The sequence below is a fragment of the Homo sapiens genome, chromosome 6, assembly GCF_000001405.40.
Source record: "Homo sapiens chromosome 6, GRCh38.p14 Primary Assembly".
In the NCBI taxonomy this organism is placed as follows: domain Eukaryota; kingdom Metazoa; phylum Chordata; class Mammalia; order Primates; family Hominidae; genus Homo; species Homo sapiens.
In genome coordinates, this window is record NC_000006.12 from 106,548,029 (window position 1) to 106,574,049 (window position 26,021).

The 26,021-nt window shown below is 40.8% G+C and overlaps 2 protein-coding genes across 7 annotated transcripts in view; one reads left to right on the top strand and one right to left on the bottom strand.

Moving 5' to 3' along the window:
• CRYBG1 (crystallin beta-gamma domain containing 1) overlaps positions 1-23,989 on the top strand; it is a 211,301-nt gene extending 187,312 nt beyond the window's left edge. For all 3 annotated transcript variants that reach the window (XM_047418270.1, NM_001371242.2, NM_001624.4), the window contains 9 exons: positions 3,824-3,950; positions 4,156-4,188; positions 5,427-5,539; positions 7,740-7,869; positions 10,458-10,597; positions 12,775-12,898; positions 13,314-13,472; positions 15,736-15,898; positions 20,444-23,989. In XM_047418270.1, coding sequence (XP_047274226.1) covers positions 3,824-3,950; positions 4,156-4,188; positions 5,427-5,539; positions 7,740-7,869; positions 10,458-10,597; positions 12,775-12,898; positions 13,314-13,472; positions 15,736-15,898; positions 20,444-20,538 — 1,084 coding nt within the window. In that variant the 3' untranslated portion in view covers positions 20,539-23,989. The remainder of the gene's footprint in view (positions 1-3,823; positions 3,951-4,155; positions 4,189-5,426; positions 5,540-7,739; positions 7,870-10,457; positions 10,598-12,774; positions 12,899-13,313; positions 13,473-15,735; positions 15,899-20,443) is intronic.
• Positions 22,743-26,021, bottom strand: part of RTN4IP1 (reticulon 4 interacting protein 1) — a 59,721-nt gene continuing 56,442 nt past the window's right edge. For 2 of the 4 annotated variants that reach the window (NM_001318746.1, NM_032730.5), the window contains exon 9: positions 22,743-24,075. In NM_001318746.1, the coding sequence (NP_001305675.1) occupies positions 23,968-24,075 (108 nt within the window). In that variant the 3' untranslated portion in view covers positions 22,743-23,967. The remainder of the gene's footprint in view (positions 24,076-26,021) is intronic. The other 2 variants (XM_011536192.3, XM_017011376.3) reach the window with 1 other exon arrangement.

Genomic DNA, 26,021 nt, shown 5'->3' on the forward strand with positions numbered 1-26,021 from the left:
CACGGAAGGGCAGGTTTACCCTGCTGCCCTTATCTTCTGAGCAATTATTCCACCAGGCTGGGACCTGCTAGTACTTGTGTACATGCCTTTCCCCCGTCTCCCCACCAGTCTTTAAACAGAGGAGTGTTGATTCATGTGTACAGAATACATCTGGACAAGGACAGGGAGGGATTTTCTTAAGAGCCCCAAGTGTAAGTTGTAAGTAGACTCTCGGATCATAGAGCAGAGAATCTCAGATCTGGGTTTTGCGGCTTCTCCCCTCCCCCACTCCCCCCATTCATGGGTGATTCATCAGGTATCTTGGAGGGAAAACAACACTACTGTCAGTTCAAGTAACATCTTAATAAATTGTTTTCCAGCTTCAGCTTCAGTGAATTAGAGATAGGCTTAGCTGGGTGTTGGGTATTTACTTACAAGTAGTTTAGTTTCATAGGAAAATACAGTACCCATACTTGTTAGTAAAAAGAACAGAGTACTGGCTAAAGCTGCTTCCAGGGCTGTCCTCTCTCCTTGGCATTCAGCCTCCCACCTCACTGTCTTTTTTCCCTCCAAACCTTGAAGTCAAACAGAAAGGCCTTTAACCCTCTTATCTCTCTACTTGTTACAGACTCGGAGCCCTGGTGAGAACCCTTTTTTTGATGTGGCTCTACTTCTTTAATTGTTCGTTGTTTTTTTAAAGTCCTAGTGTTTGTAACGTAGATTTTCTTTTTTTTTAAATTTTATTATTATTATACTTTAAGTTTTAGGGTACATGTGCACAACGTGCAGGTTAGTTACATATGTATACATGTGCCATGTTGGTGTGCTGCACCCATTAACTCGTCATCTAGCATTAGGTATATCTCCTAATGCTATCCCTCCCCCCTCCCCCCACCCCACAACAGTCCCCGGTGTGTGATGTTCCCCTTCCTGTGTCCATGTGTTCTCATTGTTCAATTCCCACCTATGAGTGAGAACATGCGGTGTTTGGTTTTTTGTCCTTGCGATCGTTTGCTGAGAATGATGGTTTCCAGTTTCATCCATGTCCCTACAAAGGACATGAACTCATCATTTTTTATGGCTGCATAGTATTCCATGGTGTATATGTGCCACATTTTCTTAATCCAGTCATGTAGATTTTCTTGATGTGCAGACACTCCTCCCACATAGCAGTGCTCCCTGCTCTGGCTTTACTGTTGCTTCCTTTCATGCTGGGGGTAAAGCCTGAGGCCCTGTGGGCAGAGGCAGCACATGCGGGTACCCGTGTGCTGTACAGCATCACCTGGTCAGCCCGGGGACCTTGGCCCACTCTCCTACTTACACTTGAAAATACAAACTTTCACAAAGGTTAAGTGAGTTCTTCAAAGTTATCTGAAAGTTAATGTCATGGCCACAGGTGGAGCCAGGTCTCCTATCTCCTCACCTCTCAGTGATAAAGGATAGGTTTTTAGGCCGGGAACAGTGCTCACGCCTGTAATCCTAGCACTTTAGGAGGCTGAGGTGGGTGGATCACTTGAAGTCAGGAGTTTGAGACCAGCCTGGCCAACATGGTAAAATCCTGACTCTACTAAAAAAAATAAAAAATAAATAAAAATAAAAAAGAACAGGTTTTAAAAATTGCTAGTGAGGTTCTGAAATCGGGGGATGGGGGGTGGTAGGGGGCTGTATTTCCTGAAAGACTGAGTGGTGCATATAGCAGCTTCTCCATTTGGATGGCTGGGAGTGAGTGCACAGATGTTGGCTGTTATTAGCTACTTCTCACTGGAGATTTTGGCAGTGTTCTTTTTTTCCTTGATGGCTGTTCATATTCTAGTAATTACTGTACTTGAGTTTTTGTTTAAATCAGCCCTTTGGATAGTAAAATCATAATCTGCTCTAATTATAAAGTGTGTGGACTGTTTTAGGCATGGTTTACTAGAACAGTAAATGAAAGGGAACTTTCCAGGGCACATGGCAGGTTGGGTCACAAAGCAAGGAGAGCCTGGTGGGCCTCAGGACAGGTAGGTTCAGTCACGTTCTGGCCAATAGTCGATTGTGTCACCCTGGACAAGTCATTTCCCATTCAAAACAAATACCAACAAATACTTCCATGTGATGCTGCTTACCCATCTGTGGGCTTTGGAGGACAGAGATTTTGTCTTTTTCATCTTTGTATATCTAGTGCCAGTCTAGTTCCTGGCACCTGGTAAATGAATTAACTTACTGTGTCTTAGGTTTTTCCCATCTGTAAAATGGGAACACCAATACCTCCCTAGGAGATTAAATGTGATAACAGATGTGGAAACATTTTGCAAAGTTCTGATCACCCTACATAATACATACATAGATATTATTCCTTTAAGCTTTGAGAGGATCATGAGAATGATGAATTAATTGAAAAGATACTTAATGTCTTCAATATAATGGTATTAAGTATCTCTTTAATATAACAGAACTGAAAAACCTTTTCCTTTCAAAGACTTTATCTTTGCATAGGAAATAGCATCATTAAATTGGTTTTGTTGATTTTCCTCTGGGTGTAGATCACTTAAAAGAGAAAAAAACATTCCAAAAGAGATTTATTTTTAGTATTTCTATGAGTTTGCTCAATTTTGTTTATTTAATTTTTACATATTTATGTGATGTTGGAAACACTGTTGGAAACAATATTTTAGTTCTGTTCTGCATTTTTAAAAGCATTTCTTCTGTTAACTTCTTTTTCAGTGTGGTTTGTTGTGTAATAGACACAGCTTCCTAAGATCTTTCTGCAAAAATATTTTAAGGTTGAGAATGAAAGGACTTATTGATTGCTTATTAAAAGAACTAGGTTCTTCTTGAAAGTCCTGTTTGTTTTGTTTCCTTAGAATACAATTAGAAAAAAAAAAGCACAGAGAAGTATTGCCTTTGTAGCTTTCTCAAGAAATAGTATTTGATAAGCGAGAACGCCAAAAAGTTCATGTCAAGATACCCTTACGCTTACCATTTCTTTTGCATTAAGTTTTTTTTCAACTCTTATTTTAGATTCAGGGGGTACATGTGCAGGTTTGTTACATGGGTATATTGCATGATTTCCTGAAGTTTGGGGTACGGTTGAACCCGTCAACCTGAGCATAGCATGCAACAGGTAGTTTTTCAAACCCCCCTCCCTCCTGGCCCCTTTTGTAGTCCCCAGGGCCTATTTTTTTTTCTTCTTTATGTCCATGCATGACCAATGTTTAGCTCCCACTTATGGGCAAGAACATGCTCATAAGTATATGTTCTTGCTCATAAATATTTGGTATTTGATTTTCTGTTTGTGTTAATTCGCTTAGGATAGTGACCTCCAGTTGCATCCAAGTTGCTGCAAAGGACTTGATTTCATTCTTTTTTATGGCTGTATAGTATTCCATGGTTTATATGTACCACATTTTCTCTATCCAATCCACCATTGATCAATGAACACCTAGGTTGATTCCACATCTTGATATTGTGAATAGTGTGGCAGTAAACAAGACACGTGCAAGTATCTTTTTGGTAGAATAATTCGTTTTCCCCTGGGTATATCCCAGTAATGGGATTGCTGGGTTGAATACTAGTTCTATCTTTAGTTCTTTGAGAAATCTTCAAACTGCTTTCCACAGCAGCTAAACTAATTTACATTCCCACCAGCAGTGTATAAATGTTCCCTCTTCTCTGCTGGCTTACCATTCTGATTTGTCCTATAGACAAACCCATCTGCTTCTAAAGGTTAATGGAGAATCAGAAAAATTAAAATTTCAATTGGCAAAACAAATGAAAGTTTCTGTATGATACATAGATATCCAAATATGTGATCGTTTTATATGTAAAATATGAACTCCAACAAGTGATTGCTTTTGTTTCTTAGATGGGTAGCCTATGAAAATCCTGACTTCACAGGAGAACAGTATATACTGGATAAAGGATTTTATACCAGTTTTGAGGACTGGGGAGGCAAAAATTGTAAGATCTCTTCTGTTCAACCTATATGTTTGGTAAGGAGTTATATTTTTGTATGAGAATATTTAACTGAATTCTGGATTTCCTTAATGTGTGTTCCTGGTTCATGTAATAGTAATTGCTATGGAAAATATTCTGAGTTTATTTTTAGCAGTAATTGCTAATAATCTAGAAGAAAAAAACTTTTTCAATGTGTTTGTTCTATTCATTTCCTTTTCTCCTTCCTTTAAAAATTTTTAGGATTCTTTCACTGGCCCAAGGAGACGAAATCAGGTAACTTTAAAAATATTCTTTTATATTAATATATAAAGGGCCTTCCATTGAAAAGCTGAACTTATGTTTCAAATGTCAGACATTTGGGGCCGGGTGTGGTGGCTCACGCCTGTAATCCCAGCACTTTGGGAGGTCAAGGCAGGTGGATCACTTGAGCTCAGGAGTTCAAGACCAGCCTGACCAACATGGGGAAACCCCGTCTTTACTAAAAAGACAAAAATTAGCTGGGTGTGGTGGCTTGTGTCTATAAGCTCAGCTACTCAGGAAGCTGAGGCAGGAGAATTGCTTGAACCCCAAGAGGCAGATGTTGGAGTGAGCCGAGATCGCACCACTGCACTCCAGCCTGAGTGACAGAGACTCTGTCTCAAAAAAAAAAAAAAAAAAAAAAAAAAAAAAATCAGACATTTGGGACATTTTGTTAGTTTTACTCATTTTTATGCCTGAAAGCATAATTGTATTTAAAAAATAAGATTTAAGTTTACTTTAATGGTTAATTGACAGTACTGACCCATGTCTAAATAATTCTTATAAAATGCTTATTGTATAAAGCTGAATTTTATATCATTACATTGACTCAGTTTATATTAATACATTGAGATTAATATTTCAAACAATAGCATCTAGTTATTGTGATGGTAAAATGAATTTTCATATTTGCTGTGTCGACACTAGACATTTTTTATGGTCTCACTCAAGCTTTCTGAATGCTGATTCTTAACATCAACTGGGGTGTACATTTGTTATTTCGGCCTTTTAATGGAAGTGTTCACAGAGCCATAATTATAGAGGAACAAACACCACTATAGCCTCCTTTATTGGCATTCACAGGATTCCGATAAGTCAGCAAGTGTCTTCCATTGAGAAGGAAGGAAACTACACTATGTCTTTCCAAAATACTGTTTGTCGTTAATGTCAGAACTGATGAACAATGATTTCTGACCACAATAAAGCTTTAAAATACCTCACAGCTTCACAACAGGGTGTTCTATAGAAAGTTACCTTTGTTGTTGCATTTTACTTTGATGTCTCTGAATTAAATAAATAGTCACGAATGGCGCAGCTAACATGTTTCTAATTGATCATGAATGTAGACATGGAAAATTAAAGGATTTCTAAAATTCGTACCAGTTTACTGTAACAAAAGTCAGCAGGTCATGTTTAGGTCATCATTTCAAAGGCTAAATTAGTTAATGTGTTTAGGAAAATAATTTTATGTGTTTCTGTTTACTTTTTCAAAGATTCACTTGTTTTCAGAACCACAGTTTCAAGGTCACAGTCAAAGTTTTGAAGAAACAACAAGTCAAATTGATGATTCATTTTCTACCAAGTCTTGCAGAGTTTCAGGAGGCAGGTAAGTGAAACAAAGGCCTGGCAGAGCTGAATCACTGGAGTAAAACAGAATTCACACATCAGCAAGTATATAGTGATGCCTGTTAGGTGCTTGGCACTATGCGAAACCACCATCTTAGTCCAATGGCGTGCTTCGTGATATCTGAGTACCAGACGCCAGAGGACACGGGCTTCAGGTTGGTTGGAGAAGCTGAAGATCATCTCATTGTGTAATGGAATTCAGAGCAGGTTCTTTACTCTGTATGTCTTCCCATCATCTAGAAAGGGAGAGTTGGGCTCTAGTTAATCCAAGGTACCTCCCAAGGTGGATTGTTCAAAGGACAGGATCGGCACTCTGCATTAACAGGAAGGTAGAAAGTACACGCTGGAGTGGAGCTGGTGGACACGCGAATCAGGGAGCATACCAGTCCGGCTTGCTGGGAGGGCTTTGTACTGGGAGGAGAAGCAAAGCTGAGCACACTGAGTTTAGATGGCTTCCACAGGAAACACAAGACCCAGGGCAAAGGCAATGGGCTCAATTGTTTCATGCTGAAACAATCCTTGTACAAAAGCTTCATGGAGAGGGGAGAGCCCAAGGTCAGGGAAACTCGGTCAGGAAAGCCTTGGAGCAATCTGTGCAAGAGGTGTTGAGGATTTAAGTCTCTTAATAATAGTAGTAATAGTGCCTTTAATCACGTGGTTCTTTATGGTTGAAATAATGCTATCCTGTCCTTTAGTATTGCACAGCAAAAAAGCACTGACTTTGCATTCAAATACACAGATGGAGGCCGGGTGCAGTGGCTCCTGCCTGTAATCCCAACACTTAGGGAAGCCAAGGCAGGCAGATCACTTGAGGTCAGGAGATCGAGACCAGCCTGGCCATCATGGCAAAACCCTGTCTTTACTAAAAATACAAAAATTAGCCGGGCATGGTGACACACCTGTAATCCCAGCTACTTGGGAGGCTGAGGCAGGAGAATTGCGTGAACCCAGGAGGCAGAGGTTGCAGTAAGTTGAGATCATAGCACTGCACTCTAGCCTGGGCAACAGAGCAAGACTGTCTCAGGAAAAAACAAAAAAGGCAAATACATAGTTGGATAGTAAAGCTTCCTAGTTTGTTGGACATACTGCTACCACATCCCCACTCCTCGTTATCCCCTGCCTGCTTCATTTATTACCTCCAGTCCTGTGCATGTTTAAAATTACCTGTCTCAGCTCACTAGAGTATTAACTTCAGGAGAGCAGGGACTTTGGTTCTCTGCTGTATCCCCAGCAATAGAAAAGTACCTGACACATAATCCTCAAAAGGCATTTGTTGGGTTAAAAACAACAACAACAGGGCCAGGCACGGTGACTCACACCTGTAATCCCAGCACTTTGGGAGGCCGAGGTGGGCAGATCACCAGGTCAGGATTTCGAGACCAGTCTGGCCAATATGGTGAAACCCCGTCTCTACTAAAAATACAAAAATTAGCCAGGTGTGGTGGCATGCACCTGTAGTCCCAGCTACTCAGGAGGATGAGGCAGAAGAATTGCTTGAACCCAGGAGGCAGAGGTTGCAGTGAGCCGAGATCATGCCACTGCACTCCAGCCTGTGTGACAGAGCGAGATTCTGTCCCCCCGCCACCAAAAGAAAAGAAAAAAAGGAAAAAAAAAAAAAAGGCCCACAAACTTCTAGGGGAGCATGGCAAATCACCATTTTATGAATAATGTTGATACCAGAGAGGCTAAGTGACTTGTCTAAGTCAATATAGTATTTTGACTCCTGGCCCAGTGCAGAGGTATTAGAAATGAGGATAGAGGAGTGTGCGAGAAATTTTGGAAGGAAATCAATAGACCAAATCAATAGGCCTTGGTGATTAACTAGTCACAAAGCTTGAAGAAGGATTATTCAAAAAGGACTTGAGGGCTTGAAGCTCCACTGGCTGGGCAAACGGTGGCACCCATGAGAAGAGCAAGGAAGGCTGGAGGCTGGGGAAGTCAGAAAGAACGTGGAGAAAGAAGTTTGTTTCCCAAATGCAAAGTTAACTGACTTATTATGAATATTATTTTGCCACAAGCAGAAATGCAATAAATATATCCAAATATTTTTGAAGAAAGAACTCTGTTTGCCAGAAGCATTGTGTTTATTTTATAGCAGGCCACCTCTAAAAATCAGACTTCTTGAATAGGAGTGCTCAAGTTGCATATTCTGTGCATGTGTGTGGTTTTTCCCATTGTAGCTGGGTTGTATATGATGGAGAAAATTTCACTGGTAATCAATACGTGTTGGAAGAAGGCCATTATCCTTGTCTGTCTGCAATGGGATGCCCGCCTGGAGCAACTTTCAAGTCTCTTCGTTTTATAGATGTTGTAAGTATGTCATTGTGAATAGTGTTGCAGAAATGTATGCCTCATATAGCTGATGGTCAGAGTGAGGTAACCAGCCGGTAGAACCTGCTCTTAAAGTTAGTTAAGGGCTTGGAGATGGAACTGTCCATTTGGCTCTGTGTACATCTAGTTTATTGATTCTAACTGGTACACGTTTTCCACCACCCTGTTTTACTCACTTAATCCTCATATGCATATCCCTATGGACCTGAGTGGGAGTCTCTTGGACTATATATTAGGAGTAGAATTACTGGATTTCACATGTAAGAACAGGCAGTTTCATTCAGTACTGCCAGATCCCACCACTTGAGACTCCCACCAGCAGTACACATTGTTGCCATTACTGAATATTCTCTCATTCTAATTTTTGTCAACTTGATAGAATGAGCAGAAAGCAGTATGTCGTCATTGGGTTAATTTGTATTTCACTATTAGTGAGGCTGGTATCTCTTATTTATAATTTGCATTTTCTATTCAAGGAATTGTGTATTGTATCCTTTGCAATTTGGCTTCCTCTACCTTTGGTTGTTATTATTGAAGAAATTCCTTATAGGTTTTTAGTCTATTATTATTCTGTGTTTTAGAGATTTGCAATCAAATGACTTCTCCCAGTTTGCCACTATGTGCTAATCCAGATTATAGTGCCCTCTTTTGGACAGAAGTCTTTCAGTTTGATGTAGTGGAAGTAATATTCAATAGAACAAAACTGCAAGATCATGTTGAGATATTAAAGTCTGGAAGTATCTGTCGTTTCTGACATTTTTATTAGTTTTTGGTAACTGCTTTCTCATAAAAAGCTTTAAACACACGTAATTGCTCATTTTAGTTTTAAATGTAGGAAGAACGTATGTGAGTTGGTTTTCATCTCATCCCTGCCTGCCTGTTTAAATAGCAAAAATGCTACTGAGACATGAAAATAGTAACAAAGAAACATGAAATGAGGTAGTAAGATTCATTAGCTTACAAGTAATGAATAAGACTTTGATTGTTATTCTGCCTAGAATTCTAAAAGCTACCTACAAGTATATATTTGAAAATTTCAATGCCTTCCCTCAACCAGAACTTGGCATATATGCTCACAACACTCTGAGGCTATAGATGACATCTTTTTATGTTTTAATTGTGAGGAAATGAATGTTTTACCCATATGAAGACTACATATCTTTGTGACTTAATACTTCAAAATTATTTAATTGCTTTTTAATACTAAAGTGTTTAGAACATTTTTGGGCTTGCCATCTCAAAAGTGCAATAAAAGTGCAAAGTAGTAATACTACTATAATTTTTGTCTTCTTTCCTCCATGTATGTTTTATATAAACTAATTCCTAGACCACACAAACTACTTCTACACACTAACATGCTCTGTTTACTGATGGACAAAATCTTTTTACCAGTCAGGACACATCCACATAAATGAAGCAGTAAGGTACCGCACCCTTTCCACAAACTTTAAGCAGGATAGGGAAAAAATTGTAATCCCCACATGCTTTTATTTTTTTTTTTTTTGAAATGGAGTCTCACTCAGTTGCCCAGGCTGGAGTGCAGTGGCATGATCTTGACTCACTGCAACCTCCGCCTCCCAGGTTCAAGTGATTCTCTAGTCTCCCACTCAGCCTCCAAAGTAGCTGGGATTACAAGCATGCACCACCATGCCCGGCTAATTTTTTTGTGTTTGTTTGTTTGTTTTTGTATTTTTAATAGAGATGGGGTTTCACCCTGTTGGCCAGGCTGATCTCAAACTCCTGACCTCAAGTGATCCGTCCACCTCGGCCTCCCAAAGTGCTGGGATGACAGGCGTAAGCCACCATGCCCGGCCTCCCACATGCTTTTTAATGCATCATTTATGATCTTAGCAGTACTATCATTAGAGATTAATGTAGAATCAAAAGTGTCTATAATTTGAAAAAACAGGCATAAGCTGCCAACTTTTCATTTTCCTGAACAGTGAACGTTTGTGCTGTTGTCCTCTTTAAAATGATTGACAGTTTGAACATAGAGCTTCCATCCTGTTGTTTTTTTTCTCTCCTCTTGACAATGATTCCTACAGGAAAGTTTGGGAGCATGAGTACACAGAATCATTGTCTTAGTGATGAACAGAAAAAAAAAAGACATTTGAAAATACATACAAGAGGAAGGTTCCCTGATTAGGCAATACCACTGTACACTAAGTGACTAAACATCAGATGCCACAGCCCTCTGACCCTTGGCAATTATGTCCATGACTTTCCAGCCCCTCCTTGTCCCAGTGAAAATGGCTAAGTCAAAAATAAATGCCATCAGAAGTGTTGATATTCCCAGCGTATACCCATTTCTCTTTTTTTTTTCCCCCTGTTTTACAAACTATTTATATTTACCTGCCTTCCTATGCAATGGAGAAACTAACTGCCCCTCTGTGCTTTCTCTCTAGCTTGGAGTACACAAACATCCAGGCTCCCTTGGAAAAGGAGTTTATGGAAAGGCCAAATCTAGCAGATTTTTTGTGCTTTGTCCTTGTAACAAGATGATTTTCACATAAGTTTGAATTATTAACAAAGATGAATAACAGAACATTGTTTTTGTTCCTCAACAGGAATTTTCTGAACCAACAATTATTCTCTTTGAAAGAGAAGACTTCAAAGGAAAAAAGATTGAACTTAATGCAGAAACTGTCAATCTCCGATCCCTGGGATTCAACACACAAATACGCTCTGTTCAGGTTATTGGTGGCATGTGAGTTACCTACTTGTTGACTCAATAAAATAGATCATTTTAAAAATCAAGTTTGGGCTGGGCACAGTGGCTCACGCCTGTATTCCCAACACTTTAGGAGGCCGAGGTAGAAGGATCATTTGAATCCAGGGATTCAAGAAAAGCCTGGGCAACAAAGTGAGACCCCATCTCTACCAAAAATTTAAAAATTAGCCAGGTGTCGTGGCACATGCCTGTGGCCCCAGCTACGTAGGAGGCTGAGGCCGAAGGATCACTTGAGCACAGTAGGTTGAGGCTGCAGTGAGCCGTGTTCACGCCACTGTACTCCAGTCTGAGTGACAAAGCAAGACCCTATCTTAATTTAAAAAAAAAAAATTGATCAGATTTCTCCCTCTCTTATATTATCTTAAACTAATTGACATATACCCTCTCTTTTTGTAAGGGTTAATAATTATGCACCTTTGTAGAACACTTTTCCACTGGGAAAAGTCATATGTAAAGCATCTTTTATTTCATTATCCAGATTTTTAGTTTATTTAAGGTAAGGATTTTGTCTTTAACACCTCTCATAGTCTAGCAAGTAAGAAAGAGCTGACTTTACTTATCCCTTTAAAAAAGAGCAAGTCCTCTGATTTTGGAGCTCAGGGTTGGGATTTTCCTTTAGCTGGGAATGACTGGCAGATGTTATACAAATGATTAAAGGTCAACTTGGAAAGATTTTTTTCCCCTCAACTTCGAATACTTTTGAATAAGATATAAAAATGAATGAGTACCATCAATGTAATACATGTTTTTAAGAAAGTATTTTTCTTTTATTCACAAAAACAATAGGTATGGTCTACCTGTGTACAACAGATGTTGGGGTGGACTACATCTATTTAAAAAATAATCAGGCCGGGCTGGGTGCAGTGGCTCCTGCCTGTAATCCCAGCACTTTGGGAGGGCAAAGCGGGTGGATCACCTGAGGTCAGGAGTTCAGGACCAGCCTGGCCAACGTGGTGAAACCCTGTCTCTACTAAAAAATACAAAAATTAGCCAGGTGTGGTGGTGGGGCCCCTGTAATCCCAGCTACTCAGGAGGCTGAGGCAGGAGAATCACTTGAACCCAGGAGGTGGAGGTTGCAGTGAGCTGAGATCACACCAGTGCACTCCAGCCTGGGTGACAAGAGTGAAACTCCATCTAAAAAAGAAAATAAAAAAAATCACAGAAGCTGGGCGCAGTGACTCACGTCTGTAACCCTAGCACTTTGGGAGGTCAAAGTGGGCAGATCACTGGAACCCAGCAGTTCCAGACAAGCCTGGGCAACATGTTGAAACCCTGTCTCTATTGAAAACACAAAAATTAGTCGGGTGTGGTGGTGCACGCCTGTAGTCCCAGCTACTCAGGAGGCTGAGGTGGGAGATCACTTGAGTCTGGGAGGTTGAGGCTGCAGTGAGCTGTGATCGTGCCACTGCCCTTCAGCCTGGGCAACAGAGTGAGACCTACCTGGAAAAAAAAATTATAGAATATTAGGGTGGTAGAATTATGGGTGATTTTTTTGCAGTAGGTTTTAATATTTTGTTTTTATGATAAGATGACTAAAATGATAAAATTTTATCCAGGATTTAAGTTCCAGGATTAAAAGTAGAGTGCATTCTTCCCTGATGTAATATGCAAGAGAGGAGGGCGCTGGGCTGCTTCCACGCCAGTCTGCGCTTAAACCCATACTTCCTCAGGTGTGCAGCAGTAGCATCTGAGCGGAAGGGAACTGAGTATCTTAGCAGTTTTTTAGATTTAACAAAGATTACTCTCACTGCAGACAAAACTTTTTATTTAACCCTATTTAGCACCTACTAAGAGCTTTGGAAATATTAACAACTTAAAGACCCATTATTACAACTGAAGCTATTTTATGAATAGTTCCCAGGAAGAACTGAGGAATCCACTAAAAGACAATATTTCACTGCTTTACGGAGGAAAAAACTTACCTATTTCTCTTCAAGAATGGAACTTTTTGGCATAAGTACTCATGTAACAAAAATTTGCTATTTGTCAAGAAATTACTTCTTTTAAGTGTTCTAGAAAAGATCATTTTTCCCCCAATGTATGTTAAAAGTATATAGTTCAGTCTAGAAATGGAAAGCATTCTAAAAATAAATGTAATTGGGGTCCACTGTCAAATGAAAATTGCCACTTACTGTGGTTATTTTTGTTTTCAGATGGGTTACTTATGAATATGGCAGTTACAGAGGGCGACAGTTCCTATTGTCACCTGCAGAAGTACCTAATTGGTATGAATTCAGTGGCTGTCGCCAAATAGGTTCTCTACGACCTTTTGTTCAGGTATTTTCTTCCTCTCCATGCTCTGCATAGACTCTTCTCTGAAATTTTTTTGTAAATGCAATCCAACTTTTTATCCAATTTTTTTATTCAAAGTTTATAACTGGCCTCACCCTATAAACTCCTTCCCTGCCCCAATAATCTGGGCTCAGTTTCTGGTGCTAAGAGGTGTGGCTGCTTCAGAAGGCCATCAAACTGAACATCAAACGCAGTTATCCACAGGCAGGCACCCTGCCTCAGGCGCTTTGACATTTTGTCAAACTCTTCTCATTGAGAAAATTTAAAACCTCTGAGACTCTTGAGTATGGTAATTACCCTTAATCCATATCTCACTTTGGATTCTTCCTGATATTCATGCTTGTTCAGTGCTTCCAGCAGCACATCTGGTATAACAACTGCTGGGGGTTTTGTCTTCTAGAAGCGAATTTATTTCAGACTTCGAAACAAAGCAACAGGGTTATTCATGTCAACCAATGGAAACTTAGAGGATCTGAAGCTTCTGAGGATACAGGTCATGGAGGATGTCGGGGCCGATGATCAGATTTGGATCTATCAAGAAGGATGTATCAAATGCAGGGTGAGCTTTAGGATTCCACGGGGGCCTGTGATGGCTTTGCTAGGAGGTGACTCATCCTTTCATATGCTTTTGATCTTTTCTTCAAGTAGATGCAATTTCACAATTCCTGGAGTACTTTCAGAAATGAATTTGTTTTTTTCATGACAGTATATCCTAGCTCTGATAGAACCAGTCTAGGAACTTAAAATGAAAGGTAAATATAGCACTGATCCAAGATAGAATATTTATTTCTATGCTTGATTTTTATATAGTAGTAGAAAAAGGAAGTGTGTTATTCTTCCCTTTTTCCTTAATGTAACTGTTACAGAAACAAACTATAAGCTCCAGCCCTGTCAACAAAAATCACTCTTGGTTTGTTTTGGGGAAATCCACAGAACGGGATGAAGGGTAAAGAGATCCCTCTGTGTGCTGCACAGTCCATTTCCTAAGTGTCATACGTTGTAAATTAGAAAATGGCCCATGTCCCTCCTGCATCATTCCTACTATTAACAGACACTTAAAAGCTGACTGTAGTAAGATTTTTATGAAAGAAGCTCATGCTTCTATGGTAGATAAAACTTTTTTACTCCTTGATTTTGTGAGCTTGACCGTTGGCTCCTGATTTTCTTTAAAAAAACAAAACAAAACAAAACAAAAAACCAAAAAAAACCTGGTGCCCCGTGAGTCAGCAGAAGGAACACAGCCTTGCGAAAAGGAGTACAACTCGTTAATTGGGTCTGTTGTGCTGGAGGGGGAATTCTTTCAGTAAACAGAAGTACTGTTTGGACATGCATAGAAGAACTAGCAGGAGGAACAGAAGTAGTTGTAATATGGAATCATGAAAAGAAGCTTTCTGCCTTTGAATTGTCTTAATCCAAGAAAATGGTGTCTTTCAGCAGTTATTTCTAACAGACATTTCAGTGATGTTATTTAACAACTTTGAATTCAATAGGTCAATGAGAAAAAGTCTCCTAGATTATCACAGTGCTTTCATCTCAATATAGAATAATATACTTTAATTTTTTTTAGACGGGGTCTTGCTCTGTCACCAGGCTGGAGTGCAGTGGCACTATCTCGGCTCACTTCAACCTGTACCTCCCGGGTTCACGCGATTCTCCTGCCTCAGCCTCTCGAGTAGCTGGGACTACAGGCGTGTGCCACCACGCCCAGCTAACTTTTTTGTATTTTTAGTAGAGACGGGGTTTCACCATGTTGGCCAGGATGGTCTTGATCTCCTGACCTCGTGATCCACCTGCCTTGGCCTCCCAAAGTGCTGGGATTACAGGCATAAGCCACTGCGCCTGGCCTACAATAATACACTTTTAACAGGCATTTTTATAGCAACATTGTTTTGTTTTTGTGTTTGAGACAGAGTCTAGCTCTGTTGCCCAGGCTGGAGTGTAGTGGTGCAATCACAGCTCACTGTAGCTTCGACCTCCTGGGCTCAAGGGATCCTCCCACCTCAGCCTCCTGAGTAGCTGGGGCCCACAAGTGCATGCCACTATACCTGGCTAATTTTTAAAACTTTTCTGTAGAGATAGGGTCTCACAAGTGATCCTCTCACCTTGGCCTCCCAAAGAGTTGGGATTACAGTTGTGAGCCACTGTACCTGGCCAGTAATTTTTGTTAATGGCATGTGAACATGACTGCCATACATTATTTATATATTAAGGGTAGATTCACTTCAGGGAAGGGCTCATAAAATCTTTGCATTAAAACACCCTCTAGTGAGTCTGCATTTTTCTGTTTTCATAGCTGGAAAGCATGCCTGTTTAGAAAATTTTAATTCTCATGAAGGAAAGACAAATGCTAATAAATGCAATTCCGAGTTTTAAAATGATAAAATGCCCTTTAGCCACCCAGTGCTACAAAATTAGAGGTGCAGTCATATACTGGAAGGTCAGGCCAAGCAGAGGTGGAGATGTCAGAGGGAGATATAGCTACAGAACCTGCCTGGGATCATGGTCACTTATGACAGGGAAAAATATGATGGGCAGTTCTAATGTTATGAGGCTTTCCCTACTAGTAAGATAGTCTTGCAAAGGGCAGAAGTCTCTGACGATGCACAAACATTGAGATTTTCCCATCATTCGTGTCATCTGAAATAAATGGCATAAATATTTATTGTCCGATTCTAGTTGGCTAAGAGCTGAACTGCCTCATGTGGGGTAAATGAAGCTAGGAACTAAGATAATTTTAAAGCCCAATGTAACCAGAGAAATAATTGCTATGAGACTTACAGCTGGATACATATTTAAGATATCTGGTCTTTTCCACTGAGCAGATAGCAGAAGACTGCTGCCTGACGATTGTGGGCAGCCTGGTAACATCTGGCTCCAAGCTAGGCCTGGCCCTGGACCAGAATGCTGACAGCCAGTTCTGGAGCTTGAAGTCCGATGGCAGGATTTACAGCAAGTTGAAGCCAAATTTAGTTTTAGACATTAAAGGTAAGGGTCACTTCCTTTATTTTCTTTATTGTAATGTGTATGTCTTTTAGTTAAGGAAAAATCTATTCATAACTTTTGAAAATGATGAATGTATTATTAGTAGTAACAGTAAGAGAGCCCCTACTGTGTGCCAGCTGCTGTGCTAGCCACTTTCAGTACACCATGTCCCGTCATCTTCACAGCCGCCCTATGAGGCCTACATTATCCCCTCTCCCTCTTTTCTCCCCAGTTTTACAGACAAAACAACAACAACAACAACAACAAAACCCCGGAAGCTCAAAGGGGTTGGCCAGTTTGGCCACAATCTCACAGCTGTAACTGCTGAACCAGAATCTGGCCATAGGCTGACTTCAAACATTTATTTTATTATAATAGTGTTAGGCTAAAAATCACAAGCTGAAAGGCCGTGATTGCACTTAGTTCGGTAGAGTTGATGATTCTCATGTATACACGTGACCTTTCATTGAAAAGATCTAAGATCTCAAAGGAATTAACACAGCCTACAGGATTTCAATGCAACATGTGTTCAATGAAGCTAATAGGGAGTGAACTGATGGTGCTTGGGGGAGAATAAATTTAGCGTGGTTGTCCTCAAACTTTATTTGCATCAGAATCACCTGGAGGGCGGGTTAAAATAGACTGTGGGGCCACATCCTCAGAGACTGAGTCTGTAGGTCTGGGGTGGGGCCTGATAATTCCTTTTCTAACAAGTTCCCAGGTGTTGCCAATGCTGCTGGTCTGAGGCCCACACCCGGAGAACCACTGATAGTCATTTAAAAATAACATAAGAATGACCTAACCTCTGTGTGGGAACTCAGTGAACTAGTGTGTTGCTATTGACAGGTGCAGATGGTGTGTTCATGTCATCTGGGGTAATTCTGCTTTAAATTAATGGGCACTTTTTTATTCCCTATCAGGAAAGTCAGCACAATTGTGTTTTGTAGCGAACTGGTGATAATGTAACCATACTACATACTCCATTAATTTTTTTAAATTTTTATGAGTATATTACATACTCTATTTTAAATCATCACTACAAAATGACTCAATTTTACTTTAATCAGGGATTTAGGCCAATGCTGTCATTAAAGTTTATGATGTAGGGGTAAAGAGCCAGGTGCCGTGGCTCACGCCTGTAATCCCAGCACTTTGGGAGGCCCTGGTGGGTGGATCACGAGGTCAGGAGATCGAGACCATCCTGGCTAACATGGTGAAACCCCGTCTCTACTAAAAAATACAAAAAAATTAGCTGGGTGTGGTGGTGGGCGCCTGTAGTCCCAGCTATTTGGGAGGCTGAGGCAGGAGAATCGCGTCAACCCGGGAGGCGGACGTTGCACTGAGCCGAGATTGTGCCACTGCACTCCAGCCTAGGCGACAGGGCAAGACTTCGTCTCAAAAAAAAAAAAGTTGTAGGGACAAGAAAGTGCTGTAATCTGATTTTTAAAAAACAACTTTTCTGGATAATGGAGAACGAATCTGGACATTTTCATCAGGGGCTTTGGTAACTGTATGGGGAGCAAAAGTGGCTGTCACTTCTGAATGATCTCCAGGTAGGTAGCTTGGCCAACCCACTTAAAACAATGGACTTAGGATCAGACAGAATCTGAGAAGTTGGAAAGATGCTCAGAAGCAAACAATGCCTTTGCCTTCATTAAAGGGGGCACTTAGGGAACACAAACTAAGCACTGCAACTACAGGCTGGATGGAGACCACAAAGATCATATAAAATGCAAGTAGTACCCTTGGATATAAGAAAATAAATGCAATATTCAGAAACCAAACAGTAACATATAGTACAGCTCCCTCACCTTACATTTGGTACAACAGATTTGTCAATATGTAGACAGGTGAAATACTCATTTTATAGATGATCAACCTGAGGTTCAAACTAGTTAAGAATTATGCAGATCTTTGTTTATTCTTATTTTGATAAACTTTATTGCACTAGAGTGCTTCAGTGTTGACAAGAGTTTCAAAATCTCCAGAGACACCAAAGAAATGTGACTCAATTGGAAAAAATGGAGTTTTTGACACAATGTTAGAGAAAGTAGGGTATGTAGTTCTCAAAGGAAATCTGACCAAACCTTCCTGTTTTTTACAAATGTGATCTGCTTCCTATGTCCAGGGTGGACAACACTATGATCCTTAGCTAGAGCTTTCTTCTCTTATTCTTTCAACATGTATTCACGGGGTACACACTATGTGCCAGGCTCGGTGCTAGACACGGAGGGCACCAGCGTGAAAAAAAAAAAAAAAAGCCTCCTCCTTGGCTTCAGACAGTTTACGTTCTAGATGCGCTAGGCACACAGGATGTCCCTGACTTGTTACATTAGCAGCGGACCAGAAGGAAGGACACCTCACTCCTTGTCTTGGCTCTGACATGAACCGTGGGACTCTAGGTTTCTTAAGACTTCTTTTTAAAGCTCCAGAGCCCCTTCCTAAATGACACTATATAAATTACTCAAGTGCCTGCTGAGTAAGCATAATGTCCCGTATATTTGTGAAATCTCAGTATCTAGCACGGTAGCAACAACAGTCTTTTTTTTTTTTTTTTTTTTTTTTTGAGACGGAGTCTCACTCTGTCGTCCAGGCTGGAGTGCAATGACACGATCTCGGCTCACTGCAACCTCCGCCTCCTGGGTTCAAGCAATTCTCCTGCCTTAGCCTCCTGAGTAGCTGGGATTACAGGTGCCTGCCACCACGCCCGGCTAGCTACAACAGTTTTAATTCCTTGTTAAACTGAATTTAATTTTCTCAGACTGGGAGAATGGTGCCATCTTGTGGACATGAGAGAGCAGCGCCGCACGTCCCACACCCCATGCAAAGGAAAATATAAACACGTCTCTTCTCGTTGGTGCACTTACTAGCAGACCATGATTTCCATTAGCTACAACTACTGAACCATTTGTTATCTATTAAAATTGCCCTAAGAATTATTAGATCATGCATCTGTCTTCTAGCTCATCTTCTTGTGTTTGGGAAATGAGTTCTTTTGGTAGACATTCATGTATTATTCCAGACCACATACCTTGTAACAACAGTGGAAGCTGATTCATGTTCACTTTAAAAAACATGAAGTCTGCACAATTTAAACACTCTCCAAAGGCAAGAGAATGAATCAAATTATTTCTCAAGAACTTTCTAGTTTTCATGATTCTAGTTGAATTTATATGAAAGTATTTTAAGATACTTTACTTTTAAAATACAAAAGATACTCTTAAAATACAAAAAGTATTTTAACATACTATAATGAAGAATGAAAAGAGACATTGTGACTTTAATACTTCCTGAAATTTCAGTGGAGTATGCTGTGTGTCTCTGTCTCGGCAGAGTGTAGGGTTTGCTGGTAGTTTTTTCCCTACTGCTACAAACTTACACATAAAGGCCCAAAACACCTTACCCTTGTATTCTATAGTACATCTAGCCATACATCTAGCTGTGTAGAGGCTGTAGATTACCAATGATGATAAATCAGTGTCTCACAAGAGAAGAGACGATTTCCTTCCTCAACTATAATACCTAGATTTATTGTGTAAATTCCCAAACCTTTTTCATATTTTGTAAATGCTTCAAAGGTGAAAAGAATGTTTATTTCTTCTTGATCCAAGGAGGAAGCATGCTTTCAATACCAGTCACTCCCTGCATCAAAATGCACAGATTTTTACTTTGATGGGGTCTTTGTTGATACATCCTTGGTGCTGAGGTTTATGCTAAAAAAAGGATAAGCCATCTGAAGGGATCTTTATTCTACACTGGAAAAAAAAAAATCAGATAACCCTTTTGTTAATGATACTTCTCCAAAGAAAGAAGCCATGAGGCTGTTTTTAGCACTAAAGTATCTGAAACATCCAGTAAGCACCTTTGGAAAATCTTACAAACATTCTGGTAACAGGGAGAGAGTTCATGATAATAGTTTTACAATACTGTGGTACTCAGCATCCTAAATGCTATGAAATTTTATCCACCAACTGAGTCCCCAGTAGTGACAATGCTACCGCGTCCCCTTATGTACTTCCGGGTGTCATCCAAACCTCCCCTTTGACCTAATACAGCCCGTTTTCATTGTTCATGCAAGTGCTGTTCCTCGATAACCATTCCTCCCACCTTTCCACCACTGCCAGGACTACCTGCTCTTTCCTCGCTGGTGTCTCGAATCTACCATCTCACCACCAAATATATGTTAGTCTCTTTACTCCTTTTCCCTTCTCTCGGGTTTTCCCAGTTCCCTTGAATTTCAGACATTGTAAGAGTGACTGTGGACTAGCTCTTAAGAACTGGGTAGAAAAAGGAGCCCGTGAGGTGGGATGTCCTGTGTGAAGGTGCTGGTGCCCCAATGGTGGGATCTGGACAGATTCACCCATGGCAGGTTGACCCTCTCATCCCACAGGGGCCCAGGCTTCCCTCCCTGCCTTGCCTCCTTGAGGCATGCAGTTCTACACCTTGTTTACTTGCTTACTTTTGCTGTACTGGTGTTAGGGGAATTGTGTCTGCTATAGACCCTTCACCATGGGTACATTCATCTTTTATTATTTTCCTTTCTTTTAGGGGGCACACAGTATGATCAAAATCACATTATCCTCAACACTGTCAGCAAAGAGAAGTTTACACAAGTGTGGGAAGCCATGGTCCTATATACCTGAACAAAGAAGGAAGAAGAATCTTCTGGAGGTCCTTCCAGCCACCTTATTTCTTAAAAAGGACAATGCTGATGGAAGACCAGACTGGAAAGTGGATCGACTCCTCCTTCATTGATTCTAAATTCAACCTTAAATCATGCTGCCATGACTCAGAGAACTTACTCATCGTTTCAAAAGACTATCATAGCTTTAAACCAATAATTTGTCCTCCTTTCATTTCTTGCCTTTCATTTTTGGTAGCTGCTTAAACAGGTTGCCTAATTAGCAGCTTTTGGGTGATTTTGTAAAATGTTATATCAAGATTTCAAGACTGTGTACATTTTAAATTATTTCCAAAGATAGTGACAGGAGAGAACTGGAACAAATTTACCAACTTTGTGGACCTACAAAGCCCTTACACTTTAAAGGGTAAGACAAAGGCTTAAGTTTGAAAGGTAGAGAACTGTTTAGCATCTGAGAAGAAATACTTTATTAGGCCTGTAATTTTGGTTCTTGGCCTTAAACACTTTCTGGAACCTTTAAATATGCTGCATAGCACAATGGGAAAGCCTTAGGTATTCACACATTTAAGGAACTCTAAACAAAATACTATTTTCCTTTAGTTCATATTAAAAATTAATACATTTTAAAAATTTAATGTCAAAGTCTGGTAACATTTGTTAGTAGGATTTGAGTTATTATTTTTTGAGACAGGATCTCAGGCTGGAGTGCAGTGGCACAATCACGGCTCACTGCAGCCTCTACCTCCCCAGGCTCAGGTGATCCTCCCACCTCAGCCTCCCAAGTAGCTGGGACTATAGGCACACATCACCAAGCCCAGCCAAATTTTGTTTTTTTTTTGTAGAGATGGGGTTTCATCACGTTGCCCAGGCTGATCTCGAACCTCTGGGCTCAAGCAATTCACTCGCCTCGGCCTCCCAAAATGCTGGGATTACAGGCCTGAGCCACTGCGCCCAGCCAGGATTTGAATTATTTTAACTCATCCATGGGCTGCCCTAGAATGTCACAAATGAGGGTTGTTTAATGCCTTTCTTATAGCTGCTACTGGAACACTATTATGACCTAATTTATGAGCCATCCTTACTCATCTACAAGTGCTGAAGCAATGTTACATACTTTTTTGCTAAACTCAGATTTTTTAGCCTAATTTCTTGTCCTCCTATCCACCTGCATCCACACATGGCCTGCATGGGGCTGCCTTCCCTGCAGTGTTCTGCAGCCATGCTTCAGGGTATAGCTGTTGGTGGACAGCCTCAGGTCTTGGGGGCACTATAGCCACTAAACGAGGTGTGAAAGGCTCAAGAGGATGACCAGCAATTAATTATCCCCAGAAAGTGAAGGAAAAGAGACCTTTAGGGATGTTGCTGGTCAAGTCTTGATTTGACCGGAGTCAAATCAATCTTCAAGCAATCTTGGAATCCTCAACTGCAGTAAGCATTTCAAAATGCAAACAAACTGCTTAACAACTGACAAGACACCAGCCCATACGCTGCTCTTCCAACAGTGGGTTCTAGCTTTGAACAAAAGTGCTAAACATTTCCTTGAATATATTCTTCCTCTTTTTGTCCTCATCACTCAATACTGGTGCTCTTGTCACAGGTAGAACAGCTTGTTTCTTTTCCATCTATTCAAGTGTGTTTCTAATTCTAAAATGCTGATCTTCTCTGGAGTCTATGGTAGGCAATTATGGTCACTGGAATAGTTTGTCTTGTTTTAAAATATTATTGGTGCATGTACAACAGCATCCAACATATCTGTCTTGTTCCTAGATATATAGCTCTGATTTTAGGCCTTTTGTGCATACCATTACAATATGGTGGGGTAAGACATTCTACAGTAGCCTGTGCTGAACTGATCTCTTAAATAAACTTGCTTCTGGTTAACTATGTTGATGAAATCTGAGAGTCCATTCAGTAGCCCTCATCTCACCCTTCAAAGAGAGTCAGCTAGCAGATTAGAAACAAATGTCTGATTAGGATGAAGCAGGTTTGAGGGGTGCTGGTATAATAGCAAGAAAGATTTGCTGACCACTCTCTTTCCAAACTCCATAGTTTCTGAGTGGAAACGAGGATGAGTGAGGTCCTGGCTCAAGTATTTTACTCCCACTACCACCTGGGAGCCCTCCAGGAAAAGAGCTGAGGCTGCTCCAGATGGAAGTCAAGAGCAGCTGGTATTTACACCTGGAAAATCAGATTTTTTTTTCTTTTGCAATAACTCGGTAGTAAGACCAGACCAACAATTTTAGAGAAAAGCCTACATCTAACATACATGCTACCAAACGAGTGTCTAACAGGAATAAACCAAGCAGAAATCTCAAAACAGGTCTACATCAAAAGTTACAAGCAAGCATATCAGGTGCAATACTGAGGATGAGTATATTAGGAAGTAAAAACACTTACCGTAAATGAATATTCGAAGTGCACACTGCAATGGGTTGATTGGAGAGATATCTAAATGTAAACATTTGACATCAAAGTGGCAAGCTTTGGGCTCCATTGGAAGGCTGCAATTTCCATGGAAAAGCCCTCAGAGAAGCATGTTTCAATTGCCGAAACAGGCCTAATCCTTATGCAAGATGTAAGGGTTTTAAAAAGTTAGAAACTCTGCTCTCACCTTTCAATATTAAGAGCATAAACAAATGAATCACCAGGCAGATTTTTATATATGACACTAAGAGATTTAGAACTTTAAGAGCTGTGGTGACCACATTATGGTGGAGGAACAAAAAAGGAAACCTTGGCAGTTAGAAAGCTGCTCAGTGATGAATTCAAGAAGGAACCAGCTTTAAATTATCTCTTCATGCCAACATCCATCTATACACTGAAAGTTTTAGTATTGTACATTAAGACGATCAGGCCCAGCAGGGTGGTTCACGCCTGTAATCCCAGAACTTTGGGAGACTGACATGGTGGATCACTTAAGCCCAGGAGTTTGAGACCAGCCTGGGCAACATGGCAAAACTGTCTCTACTAAAAATACAAAAAAACTAGCTGGGTGTGGTGATGCATACCTGTAGTCCTACCTACTTGAGAGGCTGAAGCAGGAGAATCGCTTAAGGTCAAGGCTGCAGTGAGCTGTGATTGTGCCACTGCACTCCAGCCTGGGTGACACAGCGAGACCCTGTCTCTAAAACAAAAAAGACAATAAAGTAGTTTAAGCTAGTAAAACAGAAGGTGCCACAACAACCTGCAAAGCCAGTGTGAAGGAACAGCTTGAAAAAACTTCGAATTTCTACTGACTACAGACAAATCCAAGTGCTGATATTTTTATATCAATTACTGGCCAAAATGGTGTGTTTATTTTTTAAAGCTTGTATCATGGAATGTATAATCTAATCTGGAAAAATGTTTGAAAGGGATGGCTAGAAAAAAATTTGGGCTCACAGGCACTCACCAAATAAGAACGTCAACAATCACTAAACTGCATTTTTATTTAAACAACATTAATTACAGTCTTTCCTCGTGCGTGTCCTCTTTCCACCTTCAGGAAGGCTTCTGGAACTTTAGAAAAAGGAAAGGTTTGTTCAATAACTGGCCGGATCTGTAAAACATAAGAGGTTGACCGGTGGATAAAAAAGCCTACATCTTTCAAGGCAGATGACATTGCTAATTAGTTTCTTGACGGTGTCCCTCAAGCCACAGTCTCTCTCAAGTGTCTCTCCAGTGGACCCAGGTCAGGCTCTCACAAGGGCCATGATGCTGCCTCCACTCCTGCCTCACTGCTGCTTCTCTCTTTATGGCCCCTCCCACCCCACTGCCCAGTCTTACTTCTCCTCCATGCTGGTCTTTCACTCTCCTACTTAGAACCGTTCAACAGCTCCCACTCCGGCATTCGAAGACCAATAGCATCCTGAGCTCAGCCCTCATCCAGATTCCATGCTTTGCAAAAACGCTCTACCTGCCATTTTCTCCACGTGGTATGTTTATGCCTCTGCTGGTACGAGTCAGTAAGCCCAGAAATCCTTCTCTGAAAATTCCACTGCCCTTCCCGCCCAGGTCTCACACTGTGTGTCCTCATGCCCCAGTTTGCAACGTGTTGTCCCTTTCAACTCCCACAGGAACCATGTGGCCTTCCTCACAGACTGTACTTGTTACAGCTGAGTACACATCTCAGCCACTCTGTGCTGTGTGGTAAATACCAAAGAGAACATCCCAAGGTCCTTGCTGTATGTATCCATTTGGCTCCTTACAGAGAGTGCATGGAAATAGTTTTTTTTTTGTTTTTTCTTTGTTTTTAATTTGTTAAGTGTTTGGCATATCTACCCAACCAGAGCATAAAGTACTTGTGGGATAGGGGACTAAGCCATTTTGTTTGCATCCCCCACAACACCAGGCATAATGCTAGACATACAGTAGGAGCTTCATCAATGTCACTTAGGTGAAAGCTAATAAGGTAAGTGGGAAAAACGCACCTCATGTGAGCTTTCTGGGCTTCGAGAATACTTGGCCCAGGCTGGAGCTGCCCTGGCAGGCTTTGCTAAACAACGGTGCAGCCGGTTACAATTTACAAGAAAGTCATTCCAGCCAGCTCATAAATGTTTCAATGCTGCTGGGTCTTTTCACTGTACTATCAGTAATGCCAGCAACCTCCTTCTGAAACTAGGTCCCAGGTAACATCCTCTCCATGCAAAAATCCAACTGAATTCTTCCTTTTCAAAACTTTAAGCAAAAATCAATAGTTATCCACCAGGTATCTCAGTGGCCTGCCTCCCATAGCTCCACTGGCAGGCATAAGTTATCAGAAGGCATAAGCCAACTCATACATTTTACGCTTTCCTTTTACAAGAGGAAGAAGTGTTTTCGTGACATTCAGATGCATCTGATGAAACTTCCTCTTGGATGAATTTCACAGCCAAGCCACCAGAAGAGCATCTTAGACTCCAAAAGTTCCCTTCTCCAAAGAGCTGAAAATACTTTTGTACCCACAAATCACAATAAGCTCATAATAAAAGCAACAGCTGGCACATACTGGCCTCACTATGTGCCAGGCACTGTTTTAGGGGCTCTAGAGATTTCATCTCATTTAATCCCCATAACCATTTTCTGGGGTAAATACTGTTATTCCCATTTTACAGATGAATAAATCAAGGAACAGAGTTAAATAAGTTGCCCTATGTCACACTTCTGATAAATAGCAAGTCAGGATTCAATCTGATGCCATCATCTGCTATCACCATTATGCACTGAGCCTTTCCTATAGCATCTGCTGCTGTCTACACCTACCCCTAAAACCTTAAAGGAAGGGAAAGGTAGCCAAGGACTGTAAGGATTTATCACAGCCTGCATGTTGGCCTGCCTTCCTTGTGCCAGCTGAGGACCTGGTCTCTCGACCCTGTGTCCAGGCCACCAAGATGACAGATGTGTGCTACACGGGTGCCATCCACGCCTATGGAGGACATCACTATTGCTGATCCCCCACAAGCTGAGCATGACCTCAGAATCTTCACCACTGCAGCCACTATTAACTGCTCTGAGCTGGCTTGTGAG